We start from the raw sequence: 22,059 nt of genomic DNA, 5'->3' as shown, positions 1-22,059 counted from the left end.
TGCAGAGTTCTCCAGAACACAATTATGCCAAGGTTGCAGCTTATGTGTGCAACTGTATTAGTAACAACAGGTTGTTGATATTTTCATCTGGATTGACAATCCTAAATCTGTTAGCATTTGTATTTTATGTGGTTTAATTTTTCTCTCCCATTTTCTTTGATTGCAGTTCTCCAGAACAAAAGGACAAATGGCTCTCTCTCCTTCAGAGGTATTTTTTCAGTATTCATATTTTTAATCTTTAACCTTTAATAAATGAATTAAGACCTTTTCTGCAGAGATGTGCCCCAAATTATTCCCCTTCTCCTTAGTAGAAATTGTTCATTTGACCTCTAAATAAGCTGCCGTTTATATCGTACACTAGCTACTTACTTGCTACAAATAATGTTCTCTCATTATATGTATTTCTTAACTTTCTAGGAAGGAGAACATTGAGGTCTAGTTAAATCATTTTAGACAGAAGTTAGTCAATAATCTCCTCTCTCTTTCCATTGTCTCCAGCCTACCAATTGGAGCTAACAGTTTCCTCAAAGTATGTATTAAGTTTCCATAAATGCAGGGTTTTCTGCTAAGCACCTCAAAAATAATGGTAGTTATTATCCCTACCATTGAGCATGCAGACTAAAATGATTGACTTAGGCTCATCTGTTAGACTTACAGTCCTTCCCTCCCTCCTGTCCTCTCTCCCTCTCCACGCTATAGGATAACCAAGATTTACACCCTACTGGGGAGTTAAATGAGAAGTACAAGGTCATTGCTTTGGTTTGGCCTTGTAAAATATTTATTATATATGTTCCTATACTTATCAGTAAGGTGTTGGACCTGTCCAAAGAAGACAGACATTACCCAGAGGTGCCCTAACCTGATTGTGCTTCTCAAACCTCACTTGACATGCCTGTCCTATTTTTTTGTGCCCATGCCTAATGTCCTGAAATTTTGTTTATTCTCTTCCAACCCATAATGTAATCTGACTTTGCTGAGTCTTCTCATCTATCTTTTTTAAAAATAGCATATAAGTATATTGGAAATATTAGCAAAATAAATTGATTTTTAAAATAAGCCATTAGCGAATTCCATCTGACTCAGTGTTGTTTTGGGTTGCTGTTGCATTTGATTAGATACATCAATCTAGAGAAAGAAAAGGACTACCCGAAGAGCATTCCCCTCAAAATCTTCGCCAAGGACATTGGGAATTGTGCCTACGTAAGTGTTTCTAAGCCAGAAAATTAAATTCCAAGTCCCTGCATAAGACAGAACACTACGGATAAGAAGAGAGAGAGCAGGCAGGCAGGCAGGCTAACTGTGTATGTGCTATGGAAGGTAGGCATTTAGAAATACCACAGGGGGAAAATGCATTTTCCTGGTTATATGTATGTCTTCATATATATGAAAAATAAACCCTAGAGAAAGTGAAGCAAGAGAAATTCATATGAACTACGGTATTAAACTTTTACGCTTGGAAAGAACATTGCTTGTGACATGTCTCTGTCCTCCCTCTGGCATGAATATTTCTCTGAATCCTTTCAATAGCAGCTGCAGAGGCTTGTAGTAAAGCTGTTTCCACAAGGAGTATTTCCTATTATTATTAAGCAATTTTTTTCCCAACTTGTCACTCTTAAGCAGAAAGTGGTTTTGAAAAGTTCTTCATTCTTTAAGTTTTTAGGGATTGAATCCCTTAGGTTAATAGGAGGATGATCTAGGAGAGGTGACATTTTTAAGGGATCAGCATTTTACTACTTCACAGTGTTTATCATATTGGTCAAATAAATATTAAGTCTTTAACCCCAGCTATTATGTATAATTTGATGGCTGAAATCATAGTACAAGAGATAAATGTTATCAATTATGAAAAATATGAAAACTTATGAATATTTTATACTATTAACTGTCATACTTCACAGCAGCTCTAGATCACACAGAATAGTTTTATTTGTGTGTGGAAAAATATGTAGTGCAAAATAGTTATGTTTTGGGCAAAAGCAAAAGTTATGCAAATGTTCTGACCAACTCCTGAATGCCAGATGTCACTGCTTGAGGGAAATACTCAAATTTTTATAGTATGAGACTACAGAGATCTCCTGTAGCAATGTAAAACAAAACAAAACAAAAACACTGTTTTTTTCTGTCTGCTTTGATTCAGTTGTGGCAGTTGGTTACATTCAGGATTTCCTGGAAAATCCCTTAAATTTTTTTTGACACTTTCTTTTCGGTATATGGAAAGTGTGTACTTGAGAAAGGACTGATGTCCCACTGTCATTTTGGAAGAGAAGATAAGATATATGGTCAGGTTGGGTGCTCTGTTTCTATCACTAGTACCCTGGTTAAGTCAAGGATGATGTGACGTACTCTGTCCTTTGCTGTCTAAAGTAGCTTTCATAACAAGACTCTCATTCAGGGAGCCCTGCCTCCAGAGTGATTCCCCCAAATAGGAGTGCATGTGTGGGAAGCATTCTTTGTCTTTGCCGTCTAGTTATACACACCTTGTCAGTAAATTATGCTAATATGGAACAAAATTGCCACATTTTCAGTTTTGTCTGTTATTTGTTTACTAGCCAAAGAGTTCTATCTGCTGAAATTCATTTGTTTTGTATACTGGAAAGGCATGTAGGAAAAAATATACTTTCTATAATTATGTTTTGAACATATGTGCCTAGTATTAAGAAAAACTATTATCTTAGAAACCAGGTTATTGGGAGGATAGATTCTTCACGTTATAAGACTTCATGGGAGAGTTTCTTTAAATTAAATGGAAAAAATTTTAGACTTTTTTAAAATCAGAAGCCTTTTTAAAAATTATCTCTCAATTTAAAGCCCAGTATGTCTCATACCTATGACACTCTGGTAGAAGACAGACACTGGGTTGAGTGCTCCAAAGACTCCCTGTTTCACTCTGAGACAATTTTGCACAATCCTTGGGGCTACCAGGAACACAGTTTGAAATTGTGCATTTTAAATGCTTTTTTAAATTAAAATTCAATTAAACAATTTTTAGAGGCAATTTGTCATATCAAATAATTCACTCATAGAGAAGAAATTCTGTTAATGGAAGGATAAATAATGAATTATCAGATTTCATTTGCCTTTATTTTTATATCATTTTTGTATTTATGCTACTTTTTTGTGCTATTTAATCCTTCTCTGTCAGGGACACAGCCCTAATTGCTGATTTAATCTTATAATTCTCATGTGTAAAACCTATGTATGTAGCAAGTTTTTTTTACAATGTAGCATTGTTTTATATTTAAATAATGTATTTTGGAATTCAGCGATCTCTATAGATATCTCAGAATCTTGTTAACTCTTTTTGTTTGTTTGTTTGTTTTTTGTTTTTTTTTTGAGATGGAGTCTCGCTCTGTCGCCCAGGCTGGAGTGCAGTGGCGCGATCTCGGCTCACTGCAAGCTCCGCCTCCCGGGTTCAAGCCATTCTCCTGCCTCAGCCTCCCGAGTAGCTGGGACTACAGGCCCCCACCACTACGCCCAGCTAAATTTTTTTTGTATTTTTTTTTTTTAGTAGAGACGGGGTTTCACCATGTCAGCCAGGATGGTCTCGATCTCCTGACCTCATGACCCGCCCACCTCGGCCTCCCAAAGTGCTAGGATTACAGGCATGAGCTTGTTAACTCTTTTACTGTTTGCTGCAAATTGTCTATTTTTAAGTAAAAGTATTCAATATAGTTTAGCACAGAGCTATTACAGATATTGTATTCATTGGCAGAGTTGATAATAGAATTGAGCTTTCTAAAATTTTCATTTCTTTTTTCTAGACTCATTGGTTTTATGTCCTCCAAAGATTTCAACAATTAAAATCTTAGTGGCCACAGTGTGTGACACATGGAAAGTTCCCAATAGTGACTTTTTAAAATTCTAAGCTTTAAATGTCTTTTGTAACCAGTTATTATCCTGATTTTACCTAACCTGACTTTATACCACGCAAAGAAATAAAACGTATTGTGAAAACACTACTAAGGAAGAAATAGAAAGAGATTCAGCTCTTGCCTTTTTTTATTACCCATTGCCTTATGGAAATACAATTATGGAAATAAGACAGAGGACCAACCTCACTGATCTATTTTTTTAATTGGAAGCTGGGTCCATGTACTCTCTCTGAAATATATTTAGTCTTTCTTATTTGCTTAAGCTTTTATATTCTTTAAGCCATGCATCCTTTAAGAGAAATGTTTTATTAGAGGGCATAATTTATAAGGGAATGAAAGCAAATTATAATCAAAGGTTTGTGTTCTACCTAAATCTTATGCTTGACTTTGTCCACATTTGAAATCAATATTTGCCTTTCGATAATCATTTGACAATGATTATTTGTTAACCTGTTTTAAAATTCATTATTTTATAGCTATATTTCTTATTTTTTTTCTACAGTCTAAAACTATAACAGTAATGAATTCAGATACAGCGAATGAAGTTATCAACATGTCATTACCAATGCTAGGGATAACTGTAAGTTATTCTGCTAGACATTCTTAATTAAAAATAAACTTTGATTATTTAAATTTATGTAAGTATTTTCCTTCCATCATAAGACAGCTGATTATTAGAGATACCAAAGTCATATTTTATTCCCCAAAATATAGAAAATGAGAACAGTAAAGCTTTAATATGATTAATATATGGGTGCTGCTGTTCTCCTATTTTAAAATCTGTGTGAACTGAAAATTATAAGATTGGACTATAATTTTAAAGTGACAATATGTATTTTATTATATATGCTGTATATATATACAAAAATTTTTTTGGTATAAATTTCTTAATAAAGTTTCATCCTCCTTCTCCCCTTGCTACTGGTCACAATTTGACTTTTCCCCTATATAATTATCCTGTTATTATCCCAAGACTCAATCAGTCTTAGGATGATGAATTCTGAAGAATTTGCTCTGTAATAGAATTTTTCATAAAACCATATTAGCTGGCTACAAGTCCTAAGGATGATATGGCTAATACCTCTGATAAATTGGTAAATAAAAAGACAAGCTTTGAATTAGATCATGGATTTCGAGAGCTTTAGTGTGCACACCACATTCTTCCATGTTTTACTTTTAGCTTTGTACCTTTCTGTTTTCTGCGATAGAGGTGAATTTTTGAGAATTTTAGGAGTGGAGAAGATTAGAACATTTGAGGATGAGGTAGAGGAAAGAGAACTGGAAGACTGTCCTCATCACCTTGCTACCAGTTGTATAAACACCACACAATGAGTACTTTCATTAAAGGGAATGACTTTCAAAAGGATGATAACTAAAGGAAGCACTTAAAAACACTATTCCTTGAGTGAGATTCTCTGTAAATATGAAAGTACACTGTATATAAGCAAAGCTAAATACAATTAATAATATTGTAGAATACTATGGCATGTCTTAAATATGTGTCACGTTACATCATTCAAGGAGCACTGTTTCCAGAGCAATTCATGACACATATTTAAGACATGCCATAGTATTATTGTGTTTAGATTTGCTTATACACAGTACTATAGTAAGCCCTTTAGAACTCACGACAACCAGAATTTGGGATAATCTAATAATTCGTTAAATTTTGTAATATAAATTTGATTACATTTAAAATATATGCACTGGGTAAAGTAGTCACCTCCATTAATTTCTAAGCTATATGAGTATATTTTGGAAGAAAGTAGAGAGTTTTAGAGGTATGTAGAGGAATTACTGACATGATTCATTCTTTTATCTATGCTTTTCCTTTGGATAAAATTATTAATCTCCTCAGACCAAAAAAAACTGTTAATTTAACTAGGAATTGAGACTATTTGGTTATACCAGTTTTAAGGGATTATTATTACAGTGTTTTCAGACACTATATAAAAAGAAAGGATTTTTATTAGATTGGCCTTCCTATTTACAACACATTTTTTGACTAGGAGGGATGGGGCAGGGAGGAAGTAACAGATAAACTGAGTATGGGGGGTGGAATGGTTTTTATGGTATTGTAAGGGCAGGGCCATGATTTTTTATTAGAAGTTAAAGGCAAGGATATGAAATATTGCCAACAGGCTTACCTGTTCTAGCTTCATTTAAAACATTTCTGTTTTATCATCCCTCCTAGAGGATTCAGCAAAATCTGTATAATTTAGTATTTCTTTCAAGTGGGATTTATAATGTTGCTGGATTATAATTCTGCTAGTGAACAATTTTATTGTTTTCTATGACTGGGCCTATTCTCTAGAACAGAATTCTTGTCCTTTCTTTCCCCAGGACTGAACTTGCCTAAACTAAAGCCAGTAGAGGTTGTGCCAATTACTTATCTCCTCAAAGCTTCTTGGTCATTCTCCTGCTCAGAAGCAGCTAAGCTAATAATCAGCCTTTGAGATATTACTTTTTAATCATAGACATAGCAGTGTTTGTGGTTTTCTGGATAATAAGGTTGTCTTTGCAGGGGCATGTTGGAGGTTAAGCCCAATATTCTCTGAGAAGTGGAGGGACATAGCAGAAGTCAGGACTCTAAAGAAGAGATTAGCCTTTAAGAGCCAGGAAGATTGTTTTTCCTTTATAAAGGGGCCCAGCTATGATTTTACACTCTGTAGGCTACCTATATAGTGAAGGCCTGATTCCACTGCAGTTCATGGATCTCTAACTATCACTGGGTAGGGGGCAGGAGGGAGGACACATAACCAAAAAAAAAAAATGTGTCCTCATTCAAGTATCAAATGTGAAAGATTTATTGTGACATTTAACTCTTTTATCTCTAAGGGCTCTGAGAGAGATTACCAGTTGTGGGTCAATTCTGGCAAAGAAGAGGCTCCATACCCACTCATTGGTAAGTTTTTGCAAAAGTCTAAGATAGCATTGATTGTGTTTTAATTATAATTCTAAGTGTCTCCGAGAATTGGTCATATGGTCCTAAGCTTAAATACTATTAAATATGAAATTTCATGGTGTTCATTTAATAAAGATCTATCAAAGATTTACTATGTGCTAGACAAATAATATCTCCTCATTCAAGCAGCTAATGGTATAGTTGGGAAGAGAAATATAAACTTTTCGCTCTGCTTTTTCATTTGACAAACAAGAGTTATCCTGCCAAACCTTTTTAAATTTTTTTCTAAGAAAGAAATATGTGTTGGTATTTATTTTTCTCCATACATTTATTTTTCATATTCAGTTTTTTAATTTCCTGTTCCCTTACCTACTATGTGCCTCTATGGAAGACCACCTAAAATACAACCATGCATCTTAATTCATCAGTGAGTATGTAATACCTGCTATGTACCCAGAACCTTCCTAAGAATCATGAAGAAAATCAGATTAACCCATTTAGACTCCTAAAAGTCTTTATTATCTGCTACTTCAGTAATTAAATTATTTTGCTATTTCTCTAGTCAGATTTTCCAGCATTTGTCATGAGGAATTATTGATAAATATGTTCCATTTTACCTTATTTAAGTCATTAGCTAAAAAATATTTCTTGATTAGTAATTTCATTCAGTGTGGTTAACAGAAATAGAACAATTAAAATAAAGGACAGTATCTTTACCAGATCTTGAGATGATGACGATGATAATTATGATGATGACAATTTCTGTTAACAATTTTAAATGCTTACTACCTGCCAGACATCGTGCAGAGCATATTGTATGCATTATTTCATGTAATTCTTTCATTTGTCTATGAGGTCACAACTGTGTAATTCAGTGTTTCAAGTGACCTTAGTAATCTAAAACCAAACTTTTCTACAAATGTATATGCTCAGATTTAGAATACAGAAAGTGATCATGCACAGAGCTAAAGACAAAATTGACTGTGTTTCAGGTTTTTAATGTTGTCATTTTTGTAATAGTCAATGAGCAATAAAGTTATTAAAAATCAAACACTTGAAATAATTGTTTTAATAAAATATATTAATGAAAACTATGTAGATGGTAACTTTTAGGCTTATGACAGCCCCAAGCTTCCTGACTAGCTCTTACTGAAAAACAATGAGACATAGGACATTATTGTCCCATGATTTAGCAGCAATGCTTAATCATTATTTTAATGTGTTCTGCAAACCTCAATTGTAGATTAGCTGCCGGCTGTTTTGATAAATTGATTTTGTTTTATTATTGTCATAGAAGCCTTTTTCTGTCTTAATCTCTGGAAGCTGCTGTAGTACTTGATATTAATGAAACATTGACATTGTATGCCTAGACCAGCTGAAAAGGAAGAGTAAGAGTTCACTGAGTTACATTTAGTGATAAGTCAGGAATAGAAGGGAACTTGCTCTCTGTACTTAAAAAAAATCTACATCAGTGGTATTTGAGGATTACACTAAAAGGACGTAATTACTTAGAATACTAAAGAGTTAAAATCATGTTGTAGTCAGATGTCCAGGGTTTAGTTTTTATAGTCTGTATATTCGTTTTTGCATCTGTTTCTGTGTTTCTGATCCCCTGCAGTCTTCCTTCTGATTATTGCCTCTGAACATCAATCTCAGAGGGCAGCAGTGAGAGGGAAGCATAAATCAAACCAGTTGAGTAACTAACTGTGTAACTAATAAAAATTAATGAAATGTTTTTAGGCAAACATCTTGTGTTAAATAATATTAATAATAGTGATACTTGACATATATAGATCCTTATACTTCTGTGGTAGGTAGAAAAAATATTTTAAATCATAGATTTGAGACTGAGCAAGGACATGTATTTGCTGAAAATTTATATATCTAGTTAATGTCAAAGGAGACAATAGAATACCTTTAGTTATCCTTAGATGCACGTGTTGGAAAAGTCAGCATTATGGAACTCGCAAACTGATCTGTGCATTCATTCCAAACAAGATAATCTTTAAAGATTTTTTTCTTCTTTTTCTCCCTCCTCTCCTTAAAACTACTTTGGTAGGACCACCTGCATACTGGTCTCCAACTGTAAGAGTGTAAATGATCATTCTGTCAAACAAAGGGATTCTTTATGCCAAAAGTCCCAGGAGTAAATTGCAGTACATTCCTATTTTGCAGTACACATGCTAACAGTACCAGTCAGCCTGAAGTCTACATTTAGATTTGTCTCTGTGTAGGGCATGAATATCCATATGGAATTAAAATGAGCCATCTTCGAGACTCTGCACTCCTGACACCGGGATCAAAGGACTCTACCACCCCTTTCAACCTCCAGGAGCCCTTCCTTATGGAACAGCTCCCCCGAGAGATGCAGTGCCAGTTCATCCTGAAGCCCAGCCGCCTGGCTGCAGCCCAGCAACTGAGTGGTGAGTTGCTTCTAGCAAAAGTTTTCGTTCTTGAACATAAATTTAGTACAAAGGCAAAGACTCAAACCTCCCGCCAGATGAGGTATTTTTTCTTGGAATTTGCTAAGTATTTTGAAAAGGAAAGATGGACTTTTAGAAGAAGATGGTTTTATAAATCAGCAATAGGCATGATTGACTAGGAATCAGCAGCTAGTAGCAATACAGTCTGTTCCTTCTTTCTTCACCATTCTTTCCCCTTTAACCTTATTCCTACTGCAGAGTCAAAGGCACTAAGCAGTGCTGCAGGTGCTTCAATGCCTTCTTTGTACTGTAATACACTCCAACTGTGTGTTCTCCCTAAATGGTTGCATTATAAAAAGGAGGCTGTCAATGATGGGTGTCAGAAGATTGTGATGCCCTACCTGGATTCTAGTTCTGATAAGTATGTGAAGACTAAGATGATTTCTACAGAAGTCTCTCCTTAGTCTACTAATCTAATATGAATTCCCTGTGAACATAGCAGTCTCTTACCCACCCCACAATAAAGACTCTGGAATGATAAAAGTGATCTTCAATATAAGAGAACTGTAATTTGCCCTAACCCAAGTTTGAGCTTTAAGCTCTGTCTGAAAGGAAGATTGTATAAGCAACAGAAGAAAATTGATATCAAAAAGTATGAGTGAGATAGTAGAAAATTGATTGTGAATTTCTATAGCTACCTTTGTCAATGTGAACCAACTGGGAGACCCATGGATTTGCGTTTTGCAAAGAACCAAATTAGGACCCCAGGTGTAATAAGTTTAAAGGGATGGCGTAGACCTTGAGAGATCACTGAGGCTACCTTCCTGCCACTTGACAGATTATTGGCATCATCTGAGTGCCAGGGGAAAGTCTGAAATTCTTCATCTGTGTGTGATTCAACTGACATAGCATTAATGAAAAATTAGCTCATACTGTTTTTATCTTCATTGCAGAACAACTGTACTTTAAGAAACATTTGTATGTAGCTATCTAAACTTAGAGAAAACGAATTAAATCAGCATTCATTGTAAAGAGTTTTTTTTGCCTTAAGTGTTAATACACTCCAAGATTGTTTTAAACAGAACCTTCTCTAATGCATTTAAAGTTAATTTCTAATTTATATTTCATACTAAAACATATAGTTTCTGAAACAACTGCATCAAGAAATTGTAACAGCATTGTGAAACTTATTTTCCTGTTCGCCCCTTTGATTCAAGATTTTGACATTTTATTGGACAAAAAGAGTTGTAACCACCATCTGTTTTCTTCAGCCAGCCTTTGTTCATTCTATTTTTCATCTCTGGAAGCCCAGATTCCTTCTGCTTCTTTCAAACCTACTAAACTCTACCACTTTCTCCATCTGTTAGTCCCCGTGTCCATCTTTACTTTCCTCCTTATGCAACTTGAATTCCATGGTTATCGTGATCATCCCTGTCTAGCAGAAAACTTCTGTTTCTTTGACCTTCTTTTCTACATTCCTATACATCTCCTAAAATCTCATCTCTAGATTAACTCTGTGCACTGTTGGAAGAAATCATATAGCATCAAGACTACTTGGTATCATTAATGACCAACCTTAATGGGCACTTCATACTGGGTGAGAGTAGTCTTAACTTTGTTTCTGTGCAGCATTCTTCAACTACTTGAGTCAACTGTCTTATATAAATTTCCACCCACATGCACAGCCAGCCTGTCACTTTCTGTTGATGACCTAGCCTCAAACTTTATACTTTACCAAAGTCATTGGTAAATCAGTAGATCAGTCATCAGGGACTCCCTCATCTTACCAACATCAGATACACAAATTTACCTTGAATTTGTTAACAGACATCTCTCTATGATAGTAAATTGAGGTTTTGGACTCTAAAATTTTTCGTTCCCCTTGGGTAATTTTGAAAGGGGAACACTGAGATATCATGGTCTTTCCATCCACTAAAATGTGAGCTCCATGAAGGCAGGGATTTTTATAAAGGGTATCTTTATAACTAGGCTGAGGAGAATAATAATCTTCTACTCTTCTACCTTTGCACCTGTGTTTTTCAAAACTATTTTTCTGGGTCCCTTGTCAATTTTATTTTATAATAATCAGAAATCAGGAATCCTAAGGGTTTTAACCAGTTTTGCTAATGACTTGCTCAACTAAATTGTAGGCATCCTCTGCTTAGTTTCTCTCTGTTGGAAGTGAGGCTAGATGATTCCAGCTGTAAATGATTCATGGTAAGTGGGATTAGGGATGGAATAACTATAGACCAGTGATGCCAAGGGCCAGCTGAGAGCATCAGAATGCCTGTGTAAAAAATTACAGGTGAACCACTAATGTTGTTTCTTTTTAAATACAAAAGAATTTGATGAACAACTGCTTTAGAAACCAGTGATTTAGATCAGGGGTCAGCAAACTTTTCCTGTAAGGGGCCAGATAGTAAAATTTTGCAGATCAGTATTGCAAATCAAGGATATTATGTAAGTGTTACATAACAGGAGAAAAAACAAATTTCCACCCAATTTTATTGATAGAATTCAAAATATAACAACAATTGAGTACAATTTTATGTAATACAAATCTAATGAGTGAGAAGTGAATTCTCTTGGAGGGATAACATTTCACTTAGTTGGAATTTAAAGTTAGTGATCTAGCCATCAAAATTTGAGTACAAACATTCTGATCTATAATAAAATTTTTAATTTCATCTTTGAAAACATATTTTCTCACATATGTACTGCCAAATACTGATATCATCCTACAAGCATCTAATTTCAGTTGAGCATATGTCTCTTTGATATGGCATTTGTAGAATTTTGTTAGATTCTTCTCTTGATATTTGCCTTTTAGCATATCATTTCATTGCAGATAATCACTTTCAATTGAAGGTTAGGTGGAAGCTCTTCAGTTGCATAGTGAAATGGATTTTGAGATATGGAAATCGCCTTTGCTCTTGCATCGAGGTTGGTAAAACACTACTCGAACTGTAGTTTGAACTCAAAAAACATATCTGCTGTACATTTGTATGTGAATCAAGATCTTGCTTCTTGTTTTAACTTTTAACGGCACAAGAAGTATATAAAGCAGCTTGATATTACTTGTAATTAAACATTCATTGTTTTGAAAATTACTACAGTATAAACTTTGTATGTAAGCACTGTTTTGCCTCGTAATTTTAGGTTGGATTTATTATGAAACATCATCATATCTACAGCAAAAACTAACTTTCAAAGCCATTTAGTGTCCATTAATAGAGGTTAAAGGCTGTTCTTTTCATTCATAACAAGTTCAATCTGGGCCCTGAGTTCAAAGTATCACTGTGAAACTCTAGCAGTGCTGAGCCATTGAAATGCTGTGTGATAGCATAATGCAGGCTAACCTTTAGCCTCTATTTTTAACAAAAATTCACAGAACTGACAATAGTTAAGTCCATGAGAGTAAATGAAGTTCACTGTTGACAGTACTGATCCAGTAACACTTGATAGATTTCCATATTTTTCAGGTAGTACCACTGATCAAAACAATACAATGAATAATCTTAGGTATTAAACACTTCAAATTTTCACAAGCTTTCTAAATTTCTCAAATTACACCTTTTTCTGCTCCACACATTTTCACTACCATGAAATATAACACAGCAGATTCCACTTCAGGTTGTACTGAATTATTGTTTTCTCAAATGCTTTGAAAATATTCTTACCCATAGTTATTCTATGCAGACTATTCAAGGTTAATTCTTCAGTCACTTCAAACTCAGCATTGACTTCTTGACTAAACAACTTAGTGGTATTGGTAACATTTTTCACCTCATCAAGAACCAAGGAAAGTCACTTGCCTTGTTTTTTAGTTTACTATTGATATTACTCCTAATGCCCTCAACTATTCAATTATCTATTCTCACTAAAAGGCTGATAATTTTAAATCTAGTTTCTCTGGACCCCTTTCTTAATCTACTGCAAGCACACAGATTTAATCAGTTCACCATTGGTAAATGGTTAAATGGCTTTCCTTGGTTGGCTAACAAATGAGCCACTCAGAAACTTAACTTTTATTGTAGCCTCATTTTTATTTTTGTGAGGGAATTCTGCAGTAATGATATATTTCATTTTAAATATTATTTTTCTGATCCATTGCTTTCTTATGAGTTGGGAGCATTGTGATTAACCATTGGTCTGTTAACCATTGACGCATATTATATTCTGTAACCACAGCTGTTACTTCATTGCACAGTAAACATAATACTTTGCCATTAGTTCCATAACAAAGTTATCTGCATTTCACTTTGCCTTAAAAATTTAACATTAGAAGAAGTCCACTTTTCGTTTATTGTTTTTACATAATAAGTAATAAAAAAAAAAGATGTTGTGGTATCCTGATAGATGTGGCACTTGAAACAGTCAAGATGTAACAGGGTCACTGCAATTTGTAGTGCCCTGAGCAGCAGTGCAAAGTAATGAGCGCACCACATACCATCTCTGTCACAGCTACTTAACTCTGCTATTGAGTGTGAAGTGAAAGCAGCCATAGACATTACGTGAATGAGTATGGTCATGTTCCAGTAAAACTATTCTAGACAGTAAAATTTTTTTTTTTTTTTTTGAGAAAAAGTCTCATTCTTATCGCCCAGGCTGGAGTACAATGGCACGATCTCTGCTCACTGCAACCCAGGTTCAAGCGATTCTCCTATATCAGCCTCCCGAATAGCTGGGATTACAGGCGCCTGCCACCAAATACAAAAATTAGTATTTTTTGTATTTTTAGTAGAGATGGGGTTTCACCATGTTGGCCAGACTGGTCTTGAACTCCTGACCTCAGGCGATCCACCCGCCTCGGCCTCCCAAAGTGCTGGGATTACAGGCATGAACCACCATGCCTGGCCTAAAGTTTAAATGCCATATAATTTTTATGTGTTATTACATATTATTCTTTTGAATTTTTTTCAACTTTTTAAAAATATAAAAGCCATTCTTAGCTCACAAGTTATCCAAAGGGAGGTGGCAAGCCAGATTTAGTCCAGGGAGCATAGTTTGTGCCCTCTGATTGAATGATTAAAATATGCATAATTAAAAACATGCCAGCTAAAGACTCTATATTCTACCAGACTTTATAACAGAGCTCACACAAGTAACAGAGCCATCTTATTTGACTTGTCTTCATTCCTTTGCCTGTTACATCTTTGTCATGTTCTAATTTAAGCAAGAGTATCTTCATGCTCCCTTGTTCACATATGTACCAGCTATTAACCTGACTTTTAATGGGGAAAAATGAGCTAATACTTCTTTTTTGGCACATAGTATAAACATAGAATTTTGCCTTATTTACCAAGTGCTAGTTGTTATAGTCAGAATCTTTCACACTTGTTTGTGGCCTGTATATTTAAAATGCACAGAATTCATAAATTCTTAAATTGCTTAGTCCTAGGAAATGGGTATTTTGCATGGTCTCTTATGTGGAAAATCATGTCTTGTTTTCTCCCCTGGAAACAAAGGGTTAAAATCTAATGATTTCTGTTAGAATATTGTCTGAGAACAATATTTTATTTTTAAACTAAATATAAAGCTTTCTCTAATTAGCTTTCAGAAAATATCCCTGTTAACCAGCATAACCATTGGTGAGATAGTCATTGCCAATCTTTTTTCCAAATTTTTGCCTCAGTGTAGAGAAGGCCTCCTAGTAAATAGCCTTACACTGAAAACATAACAGCAATACATCTTTCAGAAGGCCCCCTCTGAGACTTAGATCTGTAACTCATCTTTGGAATGGTTGATCCCCAGTGGGAAAGCTCTAGTGTTAATTGTGGAGGTTCAAGATATAGACATTCAAAGTTCTGACCTCAAGGCCCAACTCACATGTTACTGTTACAGGTTACTGTTACTGTTATATGTTACTGTTACAACACCTTGGGGTTGTCACTTTTCTGGCCAGAAATCTCTGTGGACAGTGATGTATTTGCCCAAGATTTGCTCAGGCCACTGGGTTCATTCCACCCACTAGGCCTTGCAGGCTGCACTTGGCTCTTACTACTGGCCTGGATCCCATGCCTGCCAGAGGCAAGTCAGGTGTGGAGTGGCGAGGGGTGTGTGAGTGAGCATGGGGCCTGGACACTGCACACAGTCAGACATACCAGCTGCTGCAGCGTAGCGGACAGCTGCACGTGCCTGCATGGGTGCTGGCTGTCTGTGAGGCTGCAGCCAGACCAGGCACACCACCAGCAGCTTCTATGGCTGGCACTAGGGAACACAGTGGTGCCCAGAAGCTTGGAGATGCCAGGAACTGCAGGGATCCAAAGTGGGAGTCACAGCCCTGCTCAGGGAGCTCCCAGCTCTGGGCTTCCCAAAGGGCTGCAGCTCTTATCTCCTTCTCTTCACCCACAGTGTGGTGAACAAGGGGCATGTTTCAGCCCTGTTTGTGTTACCACTCTTTCAGCCTCACCATTCAGCGGATCTGAAGTTCTCATCCTGTGACCAGGAAGAATGAGGTACACAGACAAGTGAAGGGTTAGCAAGATGAAGAGGAGCTTTATTGAGCAATATAACAGCTCAGAGGAGACCCACAGGGGGCAGCTCCTTTCTGCAGCCAGGGTGCCCCATCAAGTGTTCAGCTCCTAGCAAAGAGGGTAGCTCCTCTCTGCAGGCAGGTCATCCCATCAGATGTCCAACTCCTAGCAGAGAGGATAGCTCCTCCCTGTAGTTGGTTGTTTCATCATCTGTGCAGCTCTGAGAGAGGAGGCCCTGGAGTGGGTAGCTCCTCTCTGCAGGCTGGTCATCCTCACATCTGCAGCTGTCAGCAGAAAGGAGGCCCTGTAGTGGGTAGTCCTCTCTGCAGCTGGTTGTCAGGACATCTGCTCAGCTCTGGCTGAGCCTAGGGGTTTTATGGACTTCAGAGGGGAGGAAGAGCTGGCTTATTTGTCCATGGGCAGCCATGGGCAGACCCAGAAAAAGCACCACAAGTTCCCACTCCAGTCCACAGGACTGGCAGCCTGGCCCCCAGCTTTCAGGCCCTCCCTGGCCTAAAAGTAGGCCTCACCAGGGACTCACCCCCTTCTGCCCAGGAACCTTTCTGCCTCCTGCTGCTGTTCATGGCGCCCAGGCTATAGGTGCAAAGGGGCACCTGCAGGCCAGCACCGAGCTGCCTCAGCCCCCGATCGGCTTCCCTCCTATGCTTGTTGGCACCCAAAGTCCAGAGCAGTCCAAGGCACCAGGGGGCTGGCATGTCAGCACTGCCCCAAGTGTTTGCACAACCTGGTTGGGCTGCAACAGCACTTGGACTCACCCAACTTTGCACCATGATCAGAGCAGGTGCCGACAGCAGGGAGAAGCCAGGCAATGGTAGCAGGCACTTCTGAGCCTGTGAGGGCAGGGGTGGCCTTAAGGACCCCCAAGAGTACAGAAATGTCTATGTCTACAGTTGCAGTTTGGTTGGCTACAGCTGTGTTGGGGAATGGGGCTCTGCATGTTCCATGGAGCAAGAGGCCTGGGTCTGCAGCCATGACTTGGGTGACTGGAGCTACACCTGGGAGGGCAGGGCTCCTACCTGTCCCCACACAAGAGCACAGGGAGGTCTGGTCTATAGCCATGACTTGGACAGGTGCAGCTCCTGGGAGGGCAAGGCTCCTACCTGCTCTGTGGAGCAGGAAGCTCAGGCCTGCAACCACAACTCAGATGGCTGCACCTCCACCCGGGAGGGCAGGGCTCCCACCTGCTCCCAGGTCCTGAGAGCCCAGGGATTCCAGGGTCCACAGCCATGGCTTGGGTGTCTGCAGTGGCACCCAAGGGACCTCCCACCCCAACTCAGAAGGGGCAGGGCTCCTGCTTGTCCCCAGCCCCTGCCAGCTTCATGAATCCTGCAGCCCTGGCCATGCCTCCCCACTACAGCCAGTGTGATGGCAGCAGCCACTCCAGACAGCCTGCTGCTGCCATCACTACTTCTAGGAAATCTTTGTTCCTTCAGGCAGTTAGCACTTCATACACATCTCTAGTGTAACACATTAAAAAATCACATTATGATTATCTGTTTATATAATCTACTTGTCTCTTTAGACAATGACCTTCTTAAGACCTAGGAACTCATCCCAGGGCTTAGTCTAGTGTATAGAACAGAGTAGAAATTAAATGAAAGATTGAATGGCTTACTCAACCCTAGTATGGAAAAACTTGAGTGGAATGGAAGAGTTCTGGAATTAAATGGAATCTTTCTGAGTGTAGTCTGAAGTAGTTCTTGGAGTTCCAGTCTGTCCTGAACTCCCAGCTCTATGCCCAAAGTAGGTTCACTTTCCACACCTGCTTCAGACCTAGGACTGAACTGGAATTGAAATTTTATGGTGGCTGGTAAAATATGGGATACATCTTTTTTTCTGTTTACCCTGTATTCACCTCTGTGTTTTTTACTCTAGGGGAAAAAAAAAAAAAGGTGGGGATATTCTTAATTTGGGGAGTTACATGGCCGGAGTAGAATTTCTAACATTTTTTGTTGTTATGGTTATTATTATATAAACACAACGTTTTAAGAACTGTAATTTTTAACATTCAATTATCTAATTTAAGCACATAAACACACTAACTTGAATCTTGCCAGGGACATTTAGGAAAACTAGATTTACTTGAATTTAGTTTGCTTTACATTTACATCCCTCATTTCTTATAGCAATAGCATGTTTTTTCATTAGCCTTTGTGACATTTAGAAAGTAAGATGTGTGCATTAAAAGCTCTGTAAGAAAGTAAACTTTAATGAAATTTTTTTATCTCAGTCCCAGAGGAATCCTGAATGCTCAGGTTGAATGCCGTGTGTATATATAATAAAAGGCATGGCTACAGCTGAGAGTATTTATGATAAAGTAAAGGACTCAATTTCTACTTTATCCTCTGTCAACACTCATAGGGTAGCTGAGTATATAACTTTTGACAGAGCATTGTTCTTAAATGTGTGAAAGCTAAAAAATCAAATAAGTTTTTATTTTGATTGTTTTAGAAATAATAAAATCAGGGCTGTGTACAGTGGCTCACGCCTGTAATCCCAGCACTTTGGGAGGCCGAGGCAGGGACTAGCCTGGGCAAACATAGTGAGACCTCATCTCTAAAAAAATAATAATAATAAATAAAAATCAAGTAAATGTGAGCAAACCAAGACTGAGCACAAGTACTCAACATACATATTCACATATATATTAAATACATATTCACATATATATTAAACACATATTTGCATAGATTGACCTTGCTAGACGTACAGGAACCCCTTCCTGGACTTCAGAAAAGGTTTAGTTTCCTTTTCAGTTTTTTTTTTTTTAATTTTATTATTATTATACTTTAGGGTACATGTGCACAACGTGCAGGCTTGTTACATATGTATACACGTGCCATGTTGGTGTGCTGCACCCATCAACTCGTCATTTAGCATTAGGTATATTTCCCAGTGCTTTCCCTCCCCCTCCCCCCACCCCACAACGGTCCCCGGTGTGTGACGTTCCCCTTCCTGTGTCCATGTGTTCTCATTGTTCAATTCCCACCTATGAGTGAGAACATGCGGTGTTTGATTTTTGTCCTGGCGATAGTTTGCTGAGAATGATGGTTTCCAGTTTCATCCATGTCCCTACAAAGGACATGAACTCATCCTTTTTTATGGCTGCATAGTATTCCATGGTCTATATGTGCCACATTTTCTTAATCCAGTCTATCACTGTTGGACATTTGGGTTGGTTCCAAGTCTTTGCTATTGTGAATAGTGCCGCAATAAACATACATGTGCATGTGTCTTTATAGCAGCATGATTTATAATCCTTTGGGTATATACCCAGTAACGGGATTACTGAGTCAAATGGTATTTCTAGTTCTAGATCCCTGAGGAATCGCCATACTGACTTCCACAATGGTTGAACTAGTTTACAGTCCCACCAACAGTGTAAAAGTGTTCCTGTTTCTCCACATCCTATCCAGCACCTGTTGTTTCCTGACTTTTCAATGATCACCATTCTAACTGGTGTGAGATGGTATCTCATTGTGGTTTTGATTTGCATTTCTCTGATGGGCAGTGATGATGAGCATTTTTTCATGTGTTTTTTGGCTGCATAAATGTCTTCTTTTGAGAAGTGTCTGTTCATATCCTTTGCCCACTTTTTGATGGGGTTGTTTATTTCTTGTAAATTCGTTTGAGTTCACTGTAGATTCTGGATATTAGCCCTTTGTCAGATGAGTAGGTTGCAAAAATGTTCTCCCATTTTGTAGGTTGCCTGTTCACTCTGATGGTAGTTTCTTTTGCTGTGCAGAAGCTCTTTAGTTTAATTAGATCCCATTTGTCAATTTTGGCCCTTGTTGCCATTGCTTTTGGTGTTTTAGACATGAAGTCCTTGCCCATGCCTATGTCCTGAATGGTATTGCCTAGGTTTTCTTCTAGGGTTTTTATGGTTTTAGGTCTAACATGTAAGTCTTTAATCCATCTTGAATTAATTTTTGTATAAGGTGTGAGGAAGGCATCCAGTTTCAGCTTTCTACATATGGCTAGCCAGTTTTCCCAGCACCATTTATTAAATAGGGAATCCTTTCCCCATTGCTTGTTTTTGTCAGGTTTGTCAAAGATCAGATAGTTGTAGACATGTGGCATTATTTCTAAGTGCTCTGTTCTGTTCCATTGATCTATATCTCTGTTTTGGTACCAGTACCATGCTGTTTTGGTTACTGTAGCCTTGTAGTATAGTTTGAAGTCAGGTAGCGTGATGCCTCCAGCTTTGTTCTTTTGGCTTAGGATTGACTTGGCAATGTGGGCTCTTTTTTGGTTCCATATGAACTTTAAAGTAGTTTTTTCCAATTCTGTGAAGAAAGTCATTGGTAGCTTGATGGGAATGGCATTGAATCTATAAATTACCTTGGGCAGTATGGCCATTTTCACGATATTGATTCTTCTTACCCATGAGCATGGAATGTTCTTCCATTTGTTTGTATCCTCTTTTATTTCATTGGGCAGTGGTTTGTAGTTCTCCTGGAAGAGGTCCTTCACATCCCTTGTAAGTTGGATTCCTAGGTATTTTATTCTCTTTGAAGCAATTGTGAATGGGAGTTCACTCATGATTTGGCTCTCCGTTTGTCTGTTATTGGTGTATAAGAATGCTTGTTATTTTTGTACATTGATTTTGTATCCTGAGACTTTGCTGAAGTTGCTTATCAGCTTAAGGAGATTTGGGGCTGAGACCATGGGGTTTTCTAGATATACAATCGTGTCATCTGCAAACAGGGACAATTTGACTTCCTCTTTTCCTAATTGAATGCCCTTTATTTCCTTCTCCTGCCTGATTGCCCTGGCCAGAACTTCCAAACTATGTTGAATAGGAGTGGTGAGAGAGGGCATCCCTGTCTTGTGCCAGTTTTCAAAGTGAATGCTTCCAGTTTTTGCCCATTCAGTATGATATTGGCTGTGGGTTTGTCATAGATAGCTCTTATTATTTTGAGATACGTCCCATCAATACCTAATTTATTGAGAGTTTTTAGCATGAAGGGTTGTTGAATTTTGTCAAAGGCCTTTTCTGCATCTATTGAGATAATCATGTGGTTTTTGTCTTTGGTTCTGTTTATATGCTGGATTACATTTATTGATTTGCGTATGTTGAACCAGCCTTGCATCCCAGGGATGAAGCCCACTGGATCATGGTGGATAAGCTTTTTGATGTGCTGCTGGATTCGGTTTGCCAGTATTTTATTGAGGATTTTTGCATCAATGTTTATCAAGGATGTTGGTCTAAAATGCTCTTTTTTTTTTTGTTGTGTCTCTGCCAGGCTTTGGTATCAGGATGATGCTGGCCTCATAAAATGAGTTAGGGAGGATTCCCTCTTTTTCTATTGATTGGAATAGTTTCAGAAGGAATGGTACCAGTTCCTCCTTGTACCTCTGGTAGAATTCGGCTGTGAATCCATCTGGTCCTGAACTTTTTTTGGTTGGTCCTTTTCCGTTTTTGTTTTGTTTTTTTAAATAATGGAGTTTGAGAATGTCAGAGCAGGAAGAAACTGCTTTACTTAAGTGGAGTATTGGTATTCCTTCATATATGGATACCTGCTGAAGGCTGTGAAACCACATGGAGAGTAGGTGCAGAGAGGTTGTCCTCTTTGTGGGGAGGAGATTGGTATCTTGACAGCATTCATCAAGATCACTGTGACAAAGTACTACTTTTATAGATTATCCTATACAATCCTTTCAATAAGCCTTTGAGGGCTAATTCATATCCTTTACATTTTAAGGTTGAGGAAAGAAAAGAGGTTAAGTAACTTGGTCCAAATAAGTTTCTGAACTGGGAGTGCAGAGAGGCTCCTGACTCTAGAGCCAAAGAGCTTTACATACCTGTGTGTGTACATTGATGATGCATTTGCTGTATTTCAAGGAAGTGATGTGTAGATGATGATCTTAAGGCCATTTGGTAAAACGTTGCTTACTTATTTATCCTCCCACAACTTGGCTTTTTAAATATTTAGTTAAGTAGTTTATTCTAAGGAAATAAAATGCTAAGGTAGCCAACAATATAGAAGACTTCTTTGGAATTAACATGTCTAATTCCACTGAAATGACAAGACTGCTGACTGTGTCCTTTAAAAGATCAATCCTTCAGTATTTCATTATCAGGGAATGTTGGGAACATCTCTGTTTTAGTTTGGTGTCATAAGGAACAATGCCACACAGCCAGTCTAATTACCAATTATCGTGCACTCTCACTGGAGAAAATGGAGTCAAGCCATGAGTGGGTACTGCCTAGGCATTATGGCTCCTCAAATCTCAGTTCTGTCAACCTTAATTGCAAGCTCTTTTGAATCTGCCCCTGTGAATGCAAGCTTCAGGGGTTAGCCAGAGATGTGGGCAGAATTTATACATAGTATTTAGGGCTCCCACTATCAGGCTTTCTT

General features: G+C 37.7%; 1 protein-coding gene across 6 annotated transcripts in view; it reads left to right on the top strand.

Annotated features, from left to right (window-relative positions):
- Positions 1-22,059, top strand: part of ARHGAP20 (Rho GTPase activating protein 20) — a 136,147-nt gene that overhangs the window by 97,429 nt on the left and 16,659 nt on the right. For all 6 annotated transcript variants that reach the window (NM_001258418.2, NM_001258416.2, NM_001258417.2 and 3 more), the window contains 5 exons: positions 167-208; positions 1,116-1,200; positions 4,375-4,452; positions 6,711-6,777; positions 9,012-9,200. In NM_001258418.2, coding sequence (NP_001245347.1) covers positions 167-208; positions 1,116-1,200; positions 4,375-4,452; positions 6,711-6,777; positions 9,012-9,200 — 461 coding nt within the window. The remainder of the gene's footprint in view (positions 1-166; positions 209-1,115; positions 1,201-4,374; positions 4,453-6,710; positions 6,778-9,011; positions 9,201-22,059) is intronic.

The sequence above is a fragment of the Homo sapiens genome, chromosome 11, assembly GCF_000001405.40.
Source record: "Homo sapiens chromosome 11, GRCh38.p14 Primary Assembly".
Taxonomy (NCBI): domain Eukaryota; kingdom Metazoa; phylum Chordata; class Mammalia; order Primates; family Hominidae; genus Homo; species Homo sapiens.
Note: the sequence above shows the minus strand (reverse complement) of the source record. Positions and strands in the feature narration are given on the sequence as shown.